General features: G+C 42.0%; 1 long non-coding RNA gene across 2 annotated transcripts in view, besides 1 other annotated feature; it reads right to left on the bottom strand.

The window, feature by feature from the left end:
* Positions 1-1,615: 1,615 nt before the first annotated feature.
* Positions 1,616-23,192, bottom strand: part of LOC105378275 (uncharacterized) — a 39,799-nt gene continuing 18,222 nt past the window's right edge. For both annotated transcript variants that reach the window (XR_945906.4, XR_945907.2), the window contains exon 3: positions 1,616-1,853. This is a non-coding gene — a long non-coding RNA (uncharacterized LOC105378275). The remainder of the gene's footprint in view (positions 1,854-23,192) is intronic.
* Positions 3,593-3,793: a silencer, noted in NCBI's record as "peak936 fragment used in MPRA reporter construct". NCBI's record gives its function as "represses an SCP1 promoter by STARR-seq MPRAs in K562 erythroleukemia cells {active_cell/tissue: K562}" and the evidence as "EXISTENCE:reporter gene assay evidence [ECO:0000049][PMID:32103011]".

Genomic DNA, 23,192 nt, shown 5'->3' with positions numbered 1-23,192 from the left:
CACACAGTGTATTTTCTTTTTCTCTTTATTCATCTTTGAATAAGTATGGCTGTCAGCTAACTTGTCTCAAGTGTCAATTTACATGGTACGTAAGCCCTGACCATCGATCTTTCTTTTTGTAAAGCCTCATCAAGATTATTTTTTAAAATCTCTCTAGCTTATTCTAAAGCATCTTCTAGAGAGTCTGGGAGGAATTCCTCTCATCATTTTAGGAAGACTGAGAACAACAAAGGGTCCACTAATCCCTTAGTTATGGAATGTCACATCCAATGGAAAAACACACAGGGCTGCTTCTGGAAGCTCCAGATCAGCCGCAGAGCCCCTCCGCCCATCTCACAGGCGCACCAGCACCAGAAACCAGCTCCACAGGAAACGCTCGGAGGCCCGCCGTTCACAGAGAAGGCCAGCCATCATGTTTTAAAGCAAAGAACATTCGTTTCCAGAAAGCTAAAAACCTAAGATGTGTGATAATGGAATCATTAATCTACTCTTTGGTGACCACTCCCACTCACTTTGCCCGGCTATAAATCATAAACGCTGTGAAATTGTCAGTGCATTGCGAGGGGCCTTTTGCAAAGGCCTCCTGCACCCCACACCTGACGCCGACAAGGGGTGCGGTCCCCCACCGCACCTCTCTGTGCTTCCAGCCCTGCCCCTCTAGGCACCGGAAATCACTGCCATAGGGGGGCCAGGTCCAGAGAGAGGCACCCACGAAGGTCTGGGCTCACCTTGGCCGCAGCTCATCTACTGCCGCTCACTCCAGACCCTCCCCCTGGCCCCAGACAGCCCCATTCAGGGCTCAGGGGTGTCCTGAGCACCAGGCAGGCTGGGCTTCGACCCTCTCAGCCTAACTTTCCTAACTTTCAGGATCTCGCCGTGTTGCCCAGGCTGGTCTCGAACTCCTGGGCTCAAGCGATCCTCCCACCTCGGCCTCCCAAAGTTCTGGGATTACAGGCGTGAGCCACTGCACCCAGCCTTACTTTAAAACTTAGCTTAGGAGTTTTAGTCCTATTAAGTCCTGAGGAAAATAACCCCTCTGTAGCATAAGTCTTCCCTGTGAGGCCTCTCCTGACCCTCCACCCTATCCGCCTCCAGGACGGTGGCCCTCCCCAGCAAGCCATCTACCTGACCCCCAGACAGAAGGCAGGCTCTTGAAGGGCAGGTCTGGATCCCTCTCACCACAACACCGTCACCGTCCCCAGGTCAGAGCACTTTGCAGGTGTGCAGGTGTCCCCCAGATGGAGGAGGCTCGCCCACAGGAACTCCGCAACCTGGGGAGACTCCCCTGTCAGCCTCAATTTGATTATTTTCAGCTCAAGGAGATGGAAATGTCGGGACTAAGGGGCTGTAAAGACTCTTTAATTCCTACAGCATTGTTGACAAGGAACATCTGGATCTCAACCTCAGTGTCCTTGCCCCAAGCAGCCAGGGACCCAGAACCATACTCACCTCCTCTAGGGGCAATAGCAGATGGGTGCCGGCCACCAAACGCCAGCTCAACCCAAGAACCAGCAATCATTTCAAGTAGGGCACGGGGAGAATCCCAACCCCTTGTGTTGGTTTTACTAGGACTGAGGGGGTGGGTCCACAGTGACATCCAAGTACAATTCTCATTTCAGTTGGGGCTGGTTCAATACTGACACTCAATGAAAAGCATCCTTATCTCATTCAGGAAATAGATTTTTCTTTCTGTTCTTCCAGAAGCATTATAAAAGGATGCCTAAATAATTTCTAGGCAAAGAGGGACTTTCTACCAAGGCACCTACAAACATCACACGCCCCTTTCCTTTCCCCTTTTGCAGTCTGCAAAGTCCATCTTCTACAAGAGTCATGCGGTGCTTGGCTCTTCCTTGCTGAAAAACAAAAAGCACGGTCACAGCCTGCTACCCTTGCTTTCTTCCCACGAAGGAGAAATTGTTATATAGGCATAGCCAGAATCCCCAAAGGGTGTCTACACAAATGCCAGAACATTCAGATCACACATGTTCTCTCTCTACACACATACACACACACACACACACGCACACACACACACACCCATCACACTGGTGTTGGAAGAATTCTGAAATATAAAAGTCTTAATATGGACCCTAGGCTGGGCATAGGGTGGCTCATGCCTGTAATCCCAGCACTTTGGGAGGCTGAAGAAGGAGGATTGCTTGAGCCCAGGAGTTCAAGACCAGCCTGGGCCCACCATGAAGAAACCCTATCTCTACAAAAATGAAAAAAAAATTAGCCAGGCATGGTGGTGTGTGCCTGTATTCCCAGCTACTCAGGAGGCTGAAGTGGGAGGATCACTTGAGCCCAGGAGGTCGAGGTTGCAGTGAGCTGAGATCACACCACTGAACTCCAGCCTGGGTAAGAGCGCAAGACCCTGTCTTACACACACACAAAAAAAGATGGACCCTGAAAATGAATAGGTTTCCACAGGCAAAAAAGTAAGAACGTTTGGAAAGGAAGAACCCTGTGATTTTGATGTTTAATGACCTGCCGGACAAGGACTGTAGCCACCTCAGGCAAGAGAGTCAGTGGGTTGAGTCCTGGCTAGCTGGTCACTAACTTAGTGGCCTTTCAAGGCACTTGGGCCTTGGCCTCCATTTCTGCATCTGTCTCTTGGGGACCATAGTGGTCCTAGGCCAGCTGCATCACAGGGTGCATATGATAGAAGGATCTAACTCCGAGTTAGAAGTGTCTTGCTAAGATATTATTAGTCATTTCTATTATTAAAGTCAAAGTCTAGCATTCAGAGACATTAGAAGGTCACGTTTGTGTGATGAGTGATTCAAAACACGGAAGACTTTGAATGCCAAGTGGATGAACAAGTAGTACTTACACTAAAGGAATTCATGAGAGAAAATGGAAGCTTATATTTATTGAGCAACTACTACGTGCCAGGCACAAGATTTTGTGAAACTGGTGCTAAATATTTACATTTTGCTGATGAGGAAGTGGGGTCTCTAGAAAAGGAGAGATTTCCATATTGACACACACCTGGTGAGTGTAGGAACTCTACCTTAGAGCCAGGTCTCTCTGTGCCCAAAGGGAATGACTTAGCAGAAGGGAAGGAGTGGAAAACATCCCCATCACTCTCATATCCTCAAGATCCCTTGTTAGTGCAGAGGCCCCTGGGAGCTTCTTACATGTGTGTTTTTAACCTAGTTGGCCTATTCCATTAGAGGCTGTTTTCCACTCTGTCATACCTCCGCCTTCTCTAATTCTGTTCTGGGACCACTTTCCACTTGGACAATTCATCCTCCTCCTTTGCACCCTTCCCAGTCTCCTTCACCTCCATTCCCATAAACTCCTGTGCATGTTCCTGTTACAACACTCAGCCTGCTGCAGTGGAATGCATCTGTTCTGTGCATTCTTTCAGGAAAAAATATTACGTCTTCCAAAAAATATGGAACCAACCACTAATTATGGCACATCTGCTTTGTTTCAAAAGTAAGTGTGGACAGGTCCAGGATGTTATCTCCAGACTACTCTGGAAAGCTCTCGGCATTCTCGGAACTCACAAAGGATATATGAGCAATTGCTCAGTGACTAGGCTGCAACCTGTTTCTGTGGGACTCCCACAATGGCCTCACAGCCAAAACTGTGGGAAGATCTAGGAAGAAGACATAGACTCCAACCTGGGTCAGACAAAGGGCGGAGGAAATAATTGAAAATCTTATACCAAAAACGTTAGAAACAAAAGTCATTCTCAGTGCAGAAGAGTAGCAGAGAATCATTTAAAAATGTGCATCCCTAAGAGGCCGAAGGAAAAGGAGCAGAGGCTGAGCAAGAGTCCCTGTGTGACAGGAAAAGCTGTAAGCAGTGTCTGCGGCTTTCTCTCCCCAGCCACATCCGCCATTCTCTGTTAAGGGCCCTCTCACCGAGGTTAGTCAGCCTCTCTCCTTAAAACTGAAAGTGACTGCTGGCATGCAGTTCCTCTCACATCTGGATTGCTAACCACCTGCTCCCCAAATTTGAAAGTATAATGGAATTGAATTCAAATTTTTACAAAACTTAGGAACTTAGGGGGCCAACTTTGCAAATCATAATTGATTTCCAAGAGACATGTCCTATTATATTTGTTTAACAAACATGAATGTTTCGTACATCAGATGCATTCTCAAGGTGTCATCCAATCCTCTTTCATTTAAAGTAGGGCAAGCGCGTGTTAAAAAAATCTAAATATTTAAAAATGATAGCAAATCTCCCTCACAACCAGACCCCCAGATTCCTTGCGAGAGGTAACCATCATGAATAGTTTTTTTGGGCCTCCAGACATCTTACACATATGTAAGCCCATGTATTCACTTGTGTTCATTGCGTTCGTATCCTTTTCATATCAAATTAGAGCAGTCAGTGCCTACTCTTCTGAATCCAAGTTTCTTTGCTATAACAATACATTTCAGCACATTCAGACTCACTCATTCTTTTTCAAAACTGCGTTGTATTTTATTTTAGAGAAGAATGATCATGCATTTTCCCAAGTCCCTCTAGATTGGCATTTAGGTACGTTCCGTCTTTTGCCTTTACAGGTAATACCACACACTTGCCATTGCACAAAGTTGCTCTCCCAAAGCATCAGAGGCCCTCCCCCTACCTTGCCACACTGGCTAATGTGGGACAGTTTACCTTTTTCCAGGCTCAGTGGTGAGCAATCCTATGCTGTCTCTTTATTATTTAGTCTTTTCTTTCTCTGTGGACTGCCATGTGTGTTGTCAATTTTTCCACTGAGTGGCATTTTGGTGACAGATTTGTAATCCCTGGCTTTACAATAGTGACATGTTCTTCTTCTGACTTGTTTGGCAAGTATTTTTCCTGTTTGACCTTTTTTTAAATTTAACTTCTGCCATATTTTTCATTGGTGAATTTTAGTTTTATTTTTATGTACTCATATGCATGAGTCTTTTCCCTTATAGTTTCTGGGTCTTGTTTTGTTTTGCTTAGCAAGGACTCACCCACTCTCTTGAGAGACAAACAAGAAGACTGAAGTAAAGTGAAAGATGTACTTTTGTCTGGAAGAGGAACTCTCAGAATATGTCATGTAGTGATAAATAATTTAATGCAATCACAAAACATTCCAAACATGTTCCTTTTTAGAAACTTAGTGATTTTTTTATAAATCAGAAAAATAAATAGGGGGGTTAGGTAGCAAGTTTGGCTCAGTCAGATGTTAAAGGCTAGAATGATTAAAATCCAGTGATTCCAGTGCAGAAATAATCAAAGAAATAGAATAGAACAGAATCCAGAAACACAACCAAGAATAAATGGAAGTATTGGATTTTATAAATGTAACATTTCAGCACCATAAGCAAGCAATGCCGCAAAAAAAAAAAGGCTCAATTGGAGGGCAGGGCAGGGGAAGGAGAAGGAATGTAGTCTCCTACCTAAGTCCTCATACCAAATTTATTGGCAGTTGTGGCAAATATTTAAACATAATAAATGAAGTCACAAAAGTACCAGAAGATAATGTATTTTTATAATATTAGGATAAATAAAGGCTTTCTACACATGCCCAGAATTAATTAATCATCAAGGAAGTGATGAACAAATTTTACTATGTAAGATATGCATAGTTCTGCAAAACCACATGATGAAAATCAAACAACAATGTAAAAGCTGGGAGAATATACTAACAAGACACATGGCAATGAATAAGTATTCACAATGCATAAAGAATTTTTTTCAAGTAGTTAAGAAAGTAAGAAGATAAAGATAATGATCAAATTAATGTAAAATATAAGAAAGTATAAGCAAACTTAATACATAAAACCAAATGTTCAGAATCAGCAAAGCTGTGAAAAAGAAAATGACCACAGCTGCACAATGGGAGCACCACTTGGCAATAGGTTGAATTCCATGTCATTGCCAATATTTCATCCTTTTTGACCTACAAAATATCCATTTTTCAATCAAAATTGGAAGTGCACATAGTCTTCGAGTCAAGAATACTACTTTCAGATATTTTTAATATATTTTAACATGTACAGTGGATATTTATACAAGTTTTATTATCCATTGGATTGCTTAGAAATTTTTTGTTAAGTCCAAAAGTACCAGTGTCATGTGGGGTATAGCAGGGTACACACTGCTTGTGGGCGCAGCAAGTGGTACAATCAATAGAATAGTCATGTGGCAACAGCCACCAGCAAAGTTGAAGATGTATGTCTCGTATCATGCAGCAATTGCCTTCCTAGGCAGGTGTGTGTGCATGTGGGTGTGATACATACATTCTATTCCTATGATGGCAAGTGCTGTTTCACAAGATATATGCATCTTCAGTTAGTCCATGTTACATGATATGTACCTGTGAAACACACATGTATACATGTACACATATGAATGTACATGTGTACGCAGCATATACATGTGCATCTGCACATGCTTATACTGTGCACATAAAAATGTGCGTATGCATAGCATAACATATAATGTATATGGGCATATGCAAACATGCATGTGTGCCTGTACCCTAGAGAAATTCCCACACACATATATATACAGTAACATGTACAAAGACATTGATTTTTGCCATTGTTTATAACAAGAAAAAAATGTACACAACATAGCTGTCAGTCAGGAAAAGCATGTGTAAGTTGTAGCTTATTCATACAATGGAATATCATGCAACAGAAGACACAAATTAGACCTATATGTATCTACAGGGATAAATATCAAAAACACAAGGCCAAATGTAAAAATCAAGAAGGAAAATATATGTGAAACATGATTCCATTTGTATATGGATATATCCAAATGTAGTAAAATTATACAATAATACTGTTAATGAATTATACCAACTTAAGGAAAAGCAGTGCTGCTGAGGAGCAGGAAGGAACGAAGGGGTAAGGCCTTTTGAGCTTGATATTATTGTTCTTAAAAATTCTGAAGCAAATTGGCAAAACATTAGCATGCTAAAAGTTAATAGAAAAATCTATATATATATTTCAATGAAAAATATATGTAATGCCCTATTCATGTCTTCTTTCAAGCATGCATATCTATCTTTACATGAATACATAAAACATACTGTTTATTTCTCTTTGCAGTCCTTTTTTTCTCCTATTTCCTTTTCTCTCCCTTTTATTTCATCCTTCCTCCCTGCACCCACATCACCCTCTAAGCCCACCTCACCACACTCCAGCCATCCATGCTGATAACAAATTGTGCTGATTTCCATATTGCCCCCTGCTCTCACAATCATATACAAATGTCCATTCATCTTTGTATATGTGTATGTACATATATACAATATGTAATACTTATGAGTGGATGGTAGTATGTTGTATGTGCTTTCTTCATTTTACTTTTCCCACTCAACAATATCAGAAGGAAATCCTGCTACTTCTCTCTTTCTCTCTCTCCTCTTTTTATCCACTGCATTATAGTTTATGCTATGGATGAACAGAACCTATTTAACAGTTCCCTTACTGAAAAGTGTTCAGTTTGTTTAGTTTCTCTGAACAATGCTGTAATAAGCATTTTTGTCCAAAGATCGTTATCCATGGTGCCTCATTTTACAGGCCCTAGAGGATACCTACATGTGATGGTAAATACTAAGTGTCAATTTGATTGGATTGAAGGATACAAAGTATTGATCTTAGGTGTGTCTATGAGGATGTTGCCAAAGGAGATTAACATTTGAGTCAGTGGGCTGGGAAAGGCAGACACACCCATAATCTGGGTGGGCACAATCTAATCAGCTGCCAGCGAGGCTAGAATATAAGCAAGCAGAAAAAAATGTGAAAACGAGAGACTGGCCTAGCCTCCTAGCCTACATCTTTCTCCCGTGCTGGATGCTTCCTGCCCTCAAATACCAGATTCCAATTTCTTCAGTTTTGGAACTGGGACTGGTTCTCCTTGCTCCTCAGCCTGCAGATGGCCTACTGTGGGACCTTGCGATCGTGTGAGTTAATACTTAATAAACTCCCCTTTCCTTTGGCAACACCCTGGCAGGCACACCCAGGATCAATACTTTGTATCCTTCAATCCAATCAAGTTGACACTCAGCTTTAATCATCACATGTAGGTATCCTCTAGGGCCCATAAAATGAGGCACCAATGCTTATTACAGCATTGTTCAGAGAAACTAAACAAGCAGAATTTTATATTTATTCCATTAGTTCTGTCCCTCTAGAGAACCCTAACTAATACACTACGCTTATCCAAAGTTTTCCATATTAGCATGGCAAGAAAGGTCACGAGTATCTTACAAAGGATTAATTTTTTTCTTGTTTGTTGGAAAATTATTTCATTGTTTTTTCAGATGACTAGCAACCCAAATATACAGAATTCTTGGATCACAATCTTTTTCTCTCACTCCCTTTTGTCTTTCCTTCCCAAATATTGTTGGGATAATTTGGAGCAAGAATGATCTTTTTCCCCTTATAAATGATTTTCTTCTTTCTGGTGCTGACAGGATTTATATTCATTTTTGAAGTATAGTCGCTTCCATGGAACATGTCTTGGTGAATGGTTACTTTCTTTTTCCTAAGACATGATAAGCACTCTTATCTAATAATTCAGATCTTTTGTCATTTCCGGAAAGTTTTTTTAAACTATTTTAAAAATCCTTTCTAACTATAATTTTTTTGTTCCAAAGTGCTCTTTTCTCTATTTGAAGTGCATCAGTGGTGCACTGGAACACATTTGCCTGTTGCTTGTACTTACCATAGTATTCAAATCCCCCTCTAACCTTTGCATACTGTATAATTTCTAAAATCTCATCCATATGACAGTTCCATTTTTGACAACATCAATTCTAATAAACTCAGTAGTCCTGTGGTGCTATATTTGTTCCTCTCCATGTATCAATTCTCCTTGCCTCTCATTTTTTGATCTCTAAGTTGCAGAGCTTGTGGTTGTATTTCTTTAAAAGTATGAGTATTTGTTGTTCGAAAATATCTTATTTAGGTAAGATATTTAGGTACCTTACTTAAGCAAGCGTTCTTCCAAAAGAATTTTCTCTATATCCTGCAAGCTGCTTTTTAAACAATGTTTAGGAGAGGAAATACAGAGTGCTTTCTTTTTGTTTTTGTTTTGCTTTTCTCTTCTGCTGACTTTTCTTTAACCATTCATTTAAGGCCTGTTATCTGCCCCTAGACACTTTAAATGAATTATCCTCAGCTTTCCTGACTGTTTATTTGAAGTGTCTGGAATTCCACTTTAATGTTTCTGTTGGCTTTTTAGCAATACTTCATCGCATTACATTTGGAGTGATTGTTCTAGAAATTACAATACATTTCCTTAACTTTTACCGCCTACTTAGAGCTAGTATTGTACCACCCAACTTAAAATATAGAAATCTTATGACCATAGAGGTTTGGAATAACATTTGAATGCTACTCTTAACTCAGAAACTTGAGTGCCTGAAGTTTATGGTTTGTATTTTTATTCCATTTTCCAGTAGTCTGATGAAGATAAGAAAAGAACTTCCTTGTCTTGAACATACCTCCTAAATTCAAAAAGGAAACAAACCATTGCCTTTTGCCTCTTGTGCTTCCTCCCCATTTGTGAGCACATACATGCAAGCATGTTCATACACACACACACACACACACACACACAACCATACACTTGTACAAATGTAGGCTCTCATGCTGCATATTTATGTTTTTAAAAACTGTTGATCATTTGGAAATCATTAAGATTTTAACTCCTTCACCAGTTCATTGCTGTATGAGGAGTGGAACACACACTGTGCTATAGCACGCTTTGGGCACACTTCTTGCCCTCCCCACGTTCATGCCCTATGTACCTTTGCAATACTCTCCCCTGGGGCAGGGAATAATTATAATCCTCTGATCATCCAACACAATGTGAAGATAATAAAAATTAATTTCAAAAACAAAATTGCACATTTGGAAAAGATGCAGGATTTCATGAGTTCACAAGAAATGTCAGGGCCTGTCTGATCACATCACACCTTCCACCTGTGACTGACTCAGACCAGTCACCAAAGAGTTAAGAAAGGCTCTTGACAACATTGTTGAAAGCTTCTAATGCTTTTGCAAAAATAACAGGCTTTTTAATTTGCTGGGAAGGGGTGCTCTTGTACCACTAGCCTTGAGCTGTGCCCATGATAATCTATAAGAAAATAAGTTATAGATCACAACAGATCAACACATATTTTTTTAAATGATCAATTTTATCACAGCTCAGTGGTAAGTTTATAGAACAAAAAAAAAAGAGTGTCACTTGATAATGAGAAGAAACCTTAAAAGAACAAATGTTAAAGGGCAAACAACCCCCTCCTCCACCACACAGACACACACACACGTATACAGACAATCCTTAAATTCAAAGGCAGTCACTTGCCTCTTTCCTCTAGGAAAATCTAACTTAATCCCTTCAATGATCCCAGGTCTTCAAAAACAAAACCCTGGATTAACACCCTGAATTTAAAATCTGGGTGTCTTGAATGTCTTTGAAAGTACAATCTCAAAAAGCAAAGAAAAAATTTTCAGGTGGGAGAGGAAAAAAAAATACCTACAACAGAGAGAAGAAAACACATAATATCCCAATAAAATATCTTGGCACCTGTATGCTTGGCTGTACATGCACCTGTGTTGTACATGCACACATGTCCATGGGTTACCCTGGCCCCAACTTACACGGGGAAGGTAACTGTATGACCTATCCACACATCTGGCTGCTTCTACCCCAGCTAACTGACAAATACTCCCAAATATTTTGCTATTGGTTGATTTGACAGCCACTCTGGAATAGTTGGTTGGCAAGAGGTTTTAAAGCAACAGAAAACCCAAGGTTGGATGGATTTGCCATCCCCTCCACTTAGGTAAAATGGCTTCCAGTAAGGGGTTGTGCCAGTATTGGCTGCTAGCTAATTTAAGGTCCAATGGAAAATGAAAATAAACAAGTATTAATCCTGAGAACCTTTTTGTGGAGTTATGAAAACAGTCTGTTATAAAACGCATCCAGATGTCAGCCAAGAGTGAGTCAATTGGAATAATAGCTTCAAGTGAAACCAGCAAAGGGCAGCAGGTCAGGCTGTGGGGATTCTGAGGAATGCCCACTCACAGACCCAGGAGCGCACCGCTGCACACCAGCCTGGAGCCTCGCCCACGACACAGAATTCTGTTAAACGATCTATAAAAAGAATTTATGGATCCCATGGACCAACATCGATTTTTTTAAATTAATTTTGTCACAGCTTAAGGGCAGGTTTATAGAAGACCAAGACAAAAAAAAAAGCGTCATTTGATAATGAGAAGAAACTTTAAAAGAGCAACATTTTATTTGACAATTATTAAATTTTTATACCAGTGAAAACAGTTTAATTTTATAAAGACCTATAAAACAATCTCCTGTTGATACACTAGCCCTGTTCTTCAAAAACACATGCCTGAGGATATTTACTGGAACATTTAATATTAAGACCTCTGAAGTAATCTACAAGTCAATCTGTGGAATATTGGTTAAACAAATGATGGTACACTTCTACAGTAGAACCAAATGCAAGTGTTTCTTAATTAATTAATTTTTTATTTATAATTGAAAAAATGCAAATGTTGAAAAGGGTGATAGACCTCCTTGACAACTGCTGTGAAATCATGTCTAGCATAAATTAAGTAGGAAAAAGCAAGTAACAGAGCATTAAACATCATTATTCAGCCATCTTTGCATAAATCAGTCTATCAATCTATGTTTCTCTGATTGTCTATGCAGGAAAAGTTCTAGAAAGAAGCCAATGTTCATGATGGCCACCTCTGAGGAGTGTAGGAGCTGAGGGCAGAGGAGCTTTTCCTTTTTGTGTTGTAGTTTTCTATACTGCTTTAATTTTTCACGTTAGCATGTATTGTTTTTGTAAAGCTTTTTAATTAATTGGTTTAAAAGAGAAGGGGAGGGAAAGGCAAAAGAGCAAGCGGCCTGTTGGAGTGGAAAGCTAACTAATGGGGCATTGGCAATCTGGTTCTTAAAAGGAAATGGGACTCCTATGAAAATACAGAAAACCTCTGAAAATGCAGGAAGTCCAACAGTCACCACAAGGGAAACAGTTTTACCCACTGTGTTTTCTCAAATGAGTGAGCAATTGCCTAAAAATACTACACTGTGTGGTTGCATGTGTTCAGTCCCCACTCAGGATCCTGATAGCATCTCAATTACCTGATGCCAACTTCACTTTAACATTGACTTTTTATTTTAAAAACAAATTGCTGATCTTTGTCCGTGGAAAAGCTGTGAAGTATTTCGGTCCCTGCCACCTATCTGGAGGCCTCATGAGCTGCCACTGGAAACCTGTGGCTGTCAAGGACCATGAGATTTCCAGGTGCAATGTGGGGATAGAAACTCCTAGGACCATCTCAGTGCTGAGCTCGCAAGGGAGCCCAACACAATGAGTGGTCCCTCTCCAGAAGCAGGCATGCTGATTATGTGACGGGATGCCTGGCGCATCTGCAGGAGAAGCCAGCCTGCTGGGTTAGGCCAAATCCCCAACTCTGCATAGTCATGAGTGGGAGGTCCTTGCGACGTGGGTTGGAGTAAGGAAGTTTTTGCAAAGAATGTAGGGATTCCACGATGCAGTGTCCAGTGCCCAAAGAAAGTCGGAACTTCATGAAGCCCCAAAAGTGAATCTAAACATGCATTAAGTTGAGTGGCCAGGGGGAAAATGCTAATATAAGACCTGGGTACAGATAGTGGGGTTAGGAACCCGAAGGATAAGGTGTGAGCAGATGGGCTGAGACAAGTACGAGTAGTAAAGGGCGGAAATAGTCTGTTTCTGTGGCCTGCCTTCAAGTTCCAGCCAGGGATTGGGTCCACTTAAAGCACCAGGAATGGGAGGTTTGCCCTCCCTTTGCAGGGCAGGGCTCTTGATGCCCTGTGTATTCTGGGCTATTGCTGAGGGGGATGCTGGGTCCCAGTGCTGCGAGCAGTATGGGAGCTCACATCTCCTGGGCCGCGCCCTCCTGCTTGCTTTGCTACAGCCTCGGCGCAATCCTTTGCTTGGCTGTGGATTTATTTATGTACCCAGGGTGCTGTGAATGAACACAAACTGCCGTGCTCCAACTAATGTTTCTGTGCATACCAGTAGGGATGGTTAATTTTATGTAACAACTTGACTGAGCCACAGGATATCCAGACATTTGGTCAAATAGTATTCTGGGTATGTCTGTGGGGGAGCCTCTCCGTGAGATTCACATCCAAGTTGGTAAAGTGAGTAACGCAGATTGCCCTCTCCGGCGTGGCTGGGTCTCATTCAATCCATTGAAATCCTGAATAGAACACAAAGGCTGAAATAAGAAACGCCTCTTATCTGACTGCCTTGAGCTGGGACCTCGGTCTTTTCCTGCCTTCAGACTCAGACTCTGGAACTACACCGAGGGCTCTCCTGCTGGCTCTCCAGCTTGCCAACTGCATATCTAGGGACTTTTCAGCCTCCATATGATGTAAGCCCATTCCTTATAATAAATCTCTTTATATAAAGCTGTGCACAGTTGCTAACACCTATAATCCCAGCACTTTGGGTGGCTAAAGAGGGAAGAATGCTTGAGGCCAGGAGTTCAAGACCAGCCTGGGCAACATAGCAAAATCTCATCTCTACCAAAAAAAAAAAAAAAGTTTAATTAGCTGGACATGGTCATGCAGGCCTGTACTCCCAGCTACTTGGGAGGCTAAGGGAGGAAGAGCTTGAGCTCAGGAGTTCAAAGCTGCAGTGAGCTATGATCATGCCACTGCACTCCAGCCTGGGCAACAGAGTGAAACCCTGTCTCAAAATAAAAAACTCTTTATACACACACATACACACACACACACACACACACACACACACACACACTTCTGTTTTTCTGGAGAATCCTGGCTAATACATCTGTTTGTACAGTTATCTTCTTAGGATAAATTCATAAGAGATTTCCCAAGAAAAACCTTCTAGATTTTCACACATACTCCTCAATTTCCATACAGAAATGCTGTGTTCATTACCTTCTCAAACAGCCCTGCTTCTCATGTTGCTTCACTCCACCTGGGCATTGTTCCACATGTTCAATGCTAATTTACCATCTTGTTTAGGATTTTTTTTTCCTTTTTGTGTATGTGATCTGTGCTTATGTCGCTTGTCCATTTTTATCTAGTTGGTTTCTTAGGTCAGGTTGCCTAGGAAAGAGATTCTGAAACAGAGATGTGCATGCAGGATGTCTGGGGCTCTCAGAGCAATGCCTGGAGGAAGGGAGGGCAGCAGGACAGAGGCAGGGTAGAGGCAGGGTGGAGGCAGAGGCACAGAGCCCACAACAGGGGTGCCCTGGAGCTAGGACAGCCTTGCACAGGTGGGTCACACTGGAGGCAAACTACCACTTAGGGGGGTCTTCAACCCTGTAGGAGGCAGCTTTCTTCAGCAGAGGGCAATTCCTGGGAAAGGACTCACTGTGAGCCTTTAGCTGCCAACTTCTTGGCAGCTGGGGAATAGGAATTCAGTCCTGAAGGAGGGATGTAGGTATGGACCACAGCACCCACCACAATTAGAGTGTTGGTAGTTTTCATATTGGTTTGCAAAGCTCTGTGCATGTTGATAATATTAATCTTCTGTCTTATTTTTCCCAATTCAGCTTTATTTGAAATTTTTATTATAATATTTTCCATTCCGAAGAGTTTTTTCATTAATTTGAGTCAATTCTATCGCATTTTCCCTTAAGGTTTCTGATTCTAAAATCTTGGTTTGAGAAGCCTACCCCAGCCTAAAATTACAAAATTATTATCCTGCAATTCCTTGTAATGTTTTCATGGCTTTTTTTACATATAATTAATCTGATAAAGATTTATACTTATTACTGTTGTAATTTTTGTTGCCAGTGTTTTGCCAAATAAGTAACGAGCTGGGCTAATGTGTCATACTGAGTAATAAACCCTGGCTATGCTGACTTAAACACCATTTTTATTAATTTTAGGAATCTTCCTGCATATATGCATCTGTTTCTGGATGCATGTTTCTGCTCTGCCTCTCCCCATTGATCAGTCTCCCCTGGGGTTGACTCAAGGCTATTCTGATCACTGAAACATGGTGATACTCTTTAATAGCTACAGCAATTACCAGACAATTGCTGTCTTTTCCAGAATTTTCTTGGCTTTCCTTGCATGTTTCACTTCCTGATAAACTTAGAACCCCTTGGCTAAGTTCTGAAAAGAAATTAAGTTAGGCTATTGACTAGAGTTATACTAAGTTTGCATATCAGTAGAAAGAGCTGACATCTTTATAACACTGAATGCACTCATCCTGGAGATTGTGCTATAGTTTTATGTTTTAAATGTTATTTTTATTATGTTTTTATCAGGTTTAGGCCATCTCTGTTAAGGAGATTAGGAAACTTTATTCCTTTCTGCAACAGTTTCTGGAAGAGTTTCAATAAAATAAATATGTTCCTTAAGTTTCAGCCACATACTCTTAAATTTTGGTTATTATTCTCTAAATAGTCTGTAAGTGCAGTGCTGATTTTCTGTGTGATATCAGGAGTTTGTTTGTTTTTTTTTTTTTTTAAGTATTCTGGGGTTTTCAAGGTGTGCCTGCTTACCCTTTTGCCATTTGTTTCCGGTTTTGTTCCATTTGAGAAACTCTCGAACATTGTGCAGGACCCACGTCTGCGGTTCTGTAGCTTTGTGCATTGCCGCAGCCGTCTGTGTGCCCCCTTCTGTGATCTTCCCTGGGAGTATCTGCACTTCTCTGTATCGAACCTTGGCGTCTCATCTTCGTGTACATCCTCTGTGTGTATCTATAATTCTTCTTTTCCTGTGGGAGGACTTCTATGCTGTGCTTTAATAGCCACATGGCAATGACCAGCCAATCTTTTGCTCAGGCAAGTTTCTGCACCACCCAATCTGCTGATTGTGCCTTTTGTGCCATTTTTATTTTTGGCAACTGTGTTTTTCATTTTAAGTCCATGGAACGCTTGTCAAAGATCGTTCTCTTTCATAAACTTACATCTTACATTTTATTGAGAATCCAAGTCCAGATTTTCAAATGATTTCCCCTTTCTCTTGGAGTCAACCTGCTTCCTCGAGGAACATGTCAGGTGCAGGGTGATTTTTTTTATTTTTTATTTATATATATATATATATATATATATATTTTGGCCTGTTTATCCTTATAAAGGGAGGTCCAGGCAGCATTGGGAGAGGTCTGTCAGAGGCTGCTGGCTTCTGGTTAGACTTTCTCAAGCTAGGATCAAAGAATGGAGAAGTTGAAATTCCTAGGCATTCCGTTTTCCAGGTGAGTTTCCAGGAGTGTGGGGGAGGTGGGGATAAATTTAGAACTAGAGGTAGAGGTGACAGGAGGTTCCAGCTCGGTGCTGAGTGGTTTATGTCCTGTGTTTCTGGGGCAGTGCCTGTCATGGCTCTGTGACCAGGTGGCCTTGTAGGAGCAGCTCACCCCTGCCCCTGCATGTGGTTCCTATAGACAGCTCTCCCACAAAGGCAACGGTGAGCACGGCAGGGAGAGCCCTGAACTCTGTCATAGGGGTTCGCGTTTGGCTCCACCCTCCCTAGAATCCGTATGTTTTTTCTGTGGCATTTTGCTCCCATTTCATAGAATTCCAGTCTTCTTGCCTTTTTGAGGACACCAGGCAGATGTTTTACAAAACATTCTTCTGTTTCCTGCAGAAAAAGGTTTTAGAGATCTGCTCTTTCTCTAAGTCCTCCATCCTCCAGATAACATGTTATTTTCTCTGAACTGCAGAGCTATATCATGGGAACTTCTTTTTAATGTTTGCTCATATTTGAAAAAGGAAAAAAGTATATGCAAGCCTGGCATCTGCCAGCAGACACACAGGGAGGATTGTCCTGGTCCAATACCCACTTCCTCCCCTCAGGGAGGTCAAAAGCCCCCCCAAAACCTGCACCGTCCAAGGACTGTCTGAGGGGCTGATAAATACAGCTCTCAGCAGAAGTTCTTCTTCAAAGCAGTCACTACTTAGATGGAGCTGGGTCATAGATCCTAAAGACAGTGACGTCCCCCTTGGACCACCAGTTTCTGTGATTAGAGAGTCAGATGCATTCGGTGGACCTTTTTAAGGTTCATGAGGAACAAAATCTACCCATCACATCATGTGCCACTCCCACTGCTGTAGTCTGAATGTTCGTGCTCTCCAAAAATTCACATGCTGGAAGCTAATGTGATGGTGTTAGCAGTGGGGCCTTTGGGATGTGACTAGGTCCTGAGTGTGGGTCCTGATTGGGACCCCTGAGAGCTGCCGGCCCCTTGCTCCATGTGAGGGCACAGCCAGAAGGCACCACCTAAGCCCCAGGGAATGGGCCCTCACTAAATATCACATCAGACTTCTCGGCCTCCACAACTGTAAGAAATAAATGTCTACTGTTTATAAGCCACACAGTCTGTGGTATTTTGTCATAGCAGCCAGAATGGACTAAAACACCCATCTTTTCTTCTCTCGCTTTCTCTTTTTCAAAACAAAAATAATAAGCATATATTGCTATATGCAAAGCAGCAGGCTAGGGACCCTGTATGCATTATTCCATTTAACTATTATGGCCACTCTATAGAGATAAGTGCTATGATTATCAACCCCATCTTATATGATAGAGGGGAAAACAGCTCAAAAAGGTTTACTCACTTAGCAGAGGCCACACAGCTTGTAACTGACAACCACGGAATTCAATCCTGATTATCATTCATCAACACATTTTGAAGGGGCTCTGAAATCTGAGACAGCACAGCCTTCATGCCACCTTTTGCCCCACTGTGTCATGGGCTGGGGGTTGGTGTCTCAGGATGGATTAACAAAAGTGGGACTATGGGAGGCAGAGGGAGCAGGCAGGGGAATGGCACAGCTCTCCTCTGCACCTATTATATAACTGTAATTATGTAACTGTGAGGTTTGGGGATGGCTCTTTCCACTCTCTTAGTTGTTCTGCCTTTTAGCTCTCCTAGCTAAACTGCAGCCACCACCAACAGCAGTAACGACAAAGGAACATGGGTTCCCACTGTACATGGTGTTCCCACCTCCGGTGTCTCTGTTGGCCTCACAACCTGCTGGGTATGCAGGACAGGGAAAATTGAGTGGAGAACTGAGACCCATTCCTGTCTTATCCCAAATGTTATATGCATTTTCTGTTATTGGCCATTTATAAGGTAAGCCCCACCAGTGGCTAAGAGGAAGGAACCAGGAAGTGTGTCCTGGAAACTACAGGAAGAGATCAGGTGATGATGGTGAACTCTGCCCATCAATTGTCTGTGGTTATACCTCTAAGAGAAGCAAAGTTTTGGGGAGCCCTTGCCCAGCTCTCCCTCCCTGGGAACCCTGCCTGTTGGCATAAAGAAGACCCAGTGACCATGGCAGGAAAGATGTGTGATATCTCAATATTTAAGAAAGATTTCAACCGCTTGTGTGAAAAAGCTAAGCTGCCTCCCAGAGTCCAAGCAGTTAAGAATCACCCTCATTAAGGCTTTATTCTCACAAACTCATATATAACAAAGATGGAACATCTGTCACTCTCTTGGGAGATGCATTTCTTTATAGATATCTGGCCACACAGCAAAATCCTGGCCACTCCAAAACTGAATCCATTAAGTGTGCTTAGCGGCTGAGCTCCCCATAGAAACAGCAAAGGATTTGCGGGCTGGCAGACATACTTAAAGCTCCTGACAGGGCTAAGAAGGGACTGGGGAAGGGGGTGTGTGGGAGAAGGGCATCCTTCAAGCCACCTCAGCTCCTCTAGTTAAGACTTTGGGTATAAGCATTCCTCTCCAACATTAAAATCTATTAAAACCTATTTTGGCAAATTACACAATTTTCTTCTGGGTTTTCTCTTAGAAATCACAGAGGCCAGACATGGGCAGGCTGCCTAAACTCCTGATTCCTCACAGTCCTAGTAGTGAAGTTCCGGGCACCCCTCTGTATGAGAAAGCCCCTGCAGTCCTCTTTTTATGTGTCTCCAATTTGAGATGAGTTGCTTCCTTTCGCTTTTGTTAGATCTGTTCTTTCTCTTACTGGATGAGGAGGAAGTTGTTGTTTTTCTAGTTCCTTTCGGGGAAAAAGGCATGAAGTAACAAGAAACAGTTACATGGACCTCATGGAAATTTCACCATCATTTCGGGAATGTCCCCTTGGGGCTTGATCACTTCCTCTCTCCCCATCTATTCCTGATGGCAAATGCTTGTGGTTGTTTGCTTCCTTGTTTGTTTGTTTACTCTTTGAACCATCTCCCTCAGACCACCTCCTTCAGGAAGGTCTGTCTCCTGGTCTCCATGTTACTGGCAGAAATGCCCAACATGATGTATCCCAATACTCCCTCCTTAGTGCATGAAATTCATTTGAGAATAAAAGTCTGGAAGAAGCAACCTCAGCTCCTCTGGTTAAGACTTTGGGTGTCAGCATCTCCAACGTTAAAACCTAATTTGGCAAACTATACAAAGTCTGGAATCAGGGAAAATGAGAGTATCTATTTGTCCTTGAAGAACTAAATACACAGATTGTCCATTTAGTCTCTGAAAAGCAGGCAGTAGAACATCCAGGGTGTCAGTCAGCATAGACTAAGTTATGCTGTAGTAACAAACAACCTCTAAATGTCAGTGGCTTAAGACAACAAAGATTTCTATCTTGCTCATGCTGCGTGTTCATTTCAGGCTATCAGAGGGGCTCTGTTCCTCACTGAATCCAGCCTGATGGGGCCATCAATATCTACGAGATTTCAGTCACTGTGCCAGAAGGCAAAACACTGTAGAGAATCCCACCCTGGCAATTAAAAGCTCTGGTCTGGAGGTGAAGCATCATTTCGACCCATAACTTATTCTCCAGAAATAGCCACATAGCTATACCCAACCACGAGGGGACTGAGAAGAGCAGTCCTGCCATGCACCGAGAGGGAGGGAAAAGAAGAAAATATAACAAACGGCATGAATGATGGCCATGCCCAGCTGCCAGTCCCAGGCCAGTGAGCCCCTACAAGGATACCCAGAGAGCTATACCCCAGGAGAAGGGTATGATGACGCTCCAGGGGAGCCACTGTGTGGTTTTAACTTTTCTTTTTTTTTTTTTTTCTGCATTTGCAAGCTAATTGAGGTCAGTGTTCTTCCTGGAGTCAAACTATCTGTACAGGGCAGGCTGTGCTAGCTGGCAAGCAACAGACAGTAACTTCAGAATTCTCCAACTCCTTTTCAATTAAATGGGGGAGTCAGACTACATATCTCCAGAATCGCTGTTGTTCTATAATGTTGTATATGTAAATTATTAAGAAAAAATAATTTTCACTCCCACTGTTGCTTAAAATAATCCAATCTTCTCAACCAGCGCCTCATTTTCTCCAAGCTCCTCAATGTTGGAATTTCTTGGATCAAGCCCTGGAGCCTCTTTTCTCACTCACTGCCCTGCCCCTGGGCAGTCTCCTCCCATCCCCAATGCGTGCAACCTCCACATGACACCTTCAGAGGTCCCAACAGACGTACTCAGAGACTTTCCCTGTGTCTCCATTTGGATTTCTCACAGATCTCAAATTAAAATGTCCCAAATTTATGGCCCCTCCCACCCCACGCTAACCCAGTCCTCTTTCAAAGTCATCCAGCTCCATAAGCCAGTTCCTGTGCCCAAGACCAAGGAGTTATTGTGGACACCTCCTTCCCTCTCATTCAATCCAATAGTTCCATCCAATAATTCTGATCTACCCTTCCTCTAAAAGAGCTCAACCCATTCCCTCTTCTCCACCCCGACCCCACTACCCTAAGCCAAGCTGTCATCATCAGTTTCCTGGACTCCCACAACCATCCCCTCCTGGTCTTTGTGCCTCTGCTCCCATCCCTCCCCAGTGCCTCTGGACACGGAAGTCAGAATGGCATTTTACAGAATGAACTGGATCACACCACTAGTGTAAACTCTCTGGTGGCTTCCTGTAACTTAGGATGGATTCCCAGTCCCCCCAGATCCTTGCCACCTGCACTGCACACCCTCACACCATATCCCTTGCCACCCTTCTCCTTGCTCATGAGGTAGACCCACTGCCCTTTCCTGCTTGAAACATCAGCCTTCTCCTGCCTGTGAACTTTTCCCATTGTGCTGGCTTGGCCCGGCAGGCTTTGCTTTGCATCTCTGCCTGGTCTGTTCTTCCTCTTCCTCCAGACACCCACCTAATGGCCATTCCTTCTGGAGGCTTTCTCTGGCCACTCACCACCATCTCAGCCTTCTTAGCTCACTCTTTTCATTCCCCCCATGTTGTTCATCACACATGTAATTAAACATTTATTTCTACCATTACTCACACACTTTCCCTACTGTGTTGTAAGCCCCACAAGGGCAGGGCCATGCCTGTGTTGTTCATCACTCTGTCCAGCCCTCTTTCACCAAAACTAGCACAGGTTTTGTCACATAATAAACATCAATAAATACCTATATGTTAAGTGAATAATTCTACTTACCTAACCCCTGGAAGATTATAACTAAGATGATTTCTAAGCTCATTCAACTTGTTACCAAAAAATGCAAACAATACAGGCACAGAGCTGCCTACTACAACACTATTTGTAATAGAAAAAGACGGAAATAACCCCAGTGTCCATCATGGGGGACCCAGTGTCCATCACGGGGGACAATGTGAATAAACTGTGATACACCCACACAATCGAGGACTGTGCTGCTATGAAAAGAAGCAAGAAAAGTCTGCATATATTAAAGACAAAAGGCAAGGCGCCGAATAGCAAGTGTAGCGTGATATCTTTTGTCTAAGACAGAAGTCAGTATAAATATGTGAGTGCCTGTTTTGTTTTTAAAATGAAATGAAGAAAACAAAACTCAATTTTTAAAAAATGGTTACCTGTGAGAGAAGGAGAAAATAAGAAGCAGGAAACAGGAACAGAGCTCGATTGCTCAGAGGGCACCTGCTTTAGAGTTCTGACTTTGGAACCTTTTGGACGTGTTACATCGTTACAAAATAAAATTCAACCAAAATGGGAAAAAATGATTACAAATCAAAAGAAAATAAATGAACCTAACTATATATTAGGTTGGTGTTTAATGACATTGGACCGGATAAGAGGGAAGTAAAGAGAAAAATTACTTTAAATAAGTTTAAGACACAGATATGGAACTGTTCATCCCTACAGGAATATATCTTAAGGACAAAAAGAATACAGAGAAATTTCAAATAGTATTCTGTAGCCTTATTTTTTATTAATAACAAGTGGTGCTGTTGACATTGTTATTTGAACCTACACAAACACAAACACACACACACACACACACACATCACCACAATGTTATTAGGAATCAAGAACTTTTAGTGTAAAAGTAAAGAAAATTAACATTAAGTCAAAGAAGTTAAGATCCCTGTAATTTTAAATGTGACTTAGAAATACAAGTAAAGGGCTGGATGCAGTGGCTCACACCTGTAATCCCAGCACTTTGGGAGGCCAAGGTGGGCAGATTGCTGGAACTCAGGAGTTCAAGACCAGCCTGGGCAACATGGTGAAACCCCATCTCTACTAAAAAACACAAAAATTAGCCAGGAGTGTGGCACACATCTGTAGTCCCCAGCTATTGAGGGGGAGGCATGCTGAGGCTGGAGGATCACTTGGGCAGGAAGGTGGGAGAGAGGGTTGCAGAGCCCAGATAGCACCACTGCACTCCAGCCTGAGTGATAGAAGTGAAACGCTGGCTCAAAAAAAAAAAAAAAAAAAAAAACAGAAATGCAAGTAAAAACTCATGATGTACTTTTATTTTTAAATAAAATAAATACATATTTTCTAGTCCAGTAAAAATATTATTTCCTTGATTTCAAAAAAAAGAAAATACCCAGAAGCAATGAAAACCAAGTAGTATCCAGACTTTAGTTTATAAATATTTGTCCTAGGAATCCACTGGGGGAAAAAGGTCTGATTCCAGGTCTTATCGGAAATTGTAGGAGATGCAAGAAAGCTAACTAAGACTATCAGGGAAATGTCAAAAAGACAGAGAGGCCAGTCCAAACGGATTCTCACTGGCCGAGGATGGCACAATTTAAGCATCAAAAAGAACAATGATTGCAACCAGTCAAACTATATCAAAGAAGTTAAAATCCATGAGTTCATAATAATAGCATTGGTCACACTGGAGATTGCTAGAACACCAAATTGTTATTCTGAAAACTGATATATAAATGGAAAGAATAGAGCATTTATCTGGACTTTCTTGTACAAACTATTTCCAGGGGTAACTAATTAGTTGATGACCAAAAGTTCTTATTCATAGAATTATTTCAGCTAACAAATGCAG

This window comes from Homo sapiens, chromosome 10, assembly GCF_000001405.40.
Source record: "Homo sapiens chromosome 10, GRCh38.p14 Primary Assembly".
NCBI lineage: Eukaryota > Metazoa > Chordata > Mammalia > Primates > Hominidae > Homo > Homo sapiens.
Note: the sequence above shows the minus strand (reverse complement) of the source record. Positions and strands in the feature narration are given on the sequence as shown.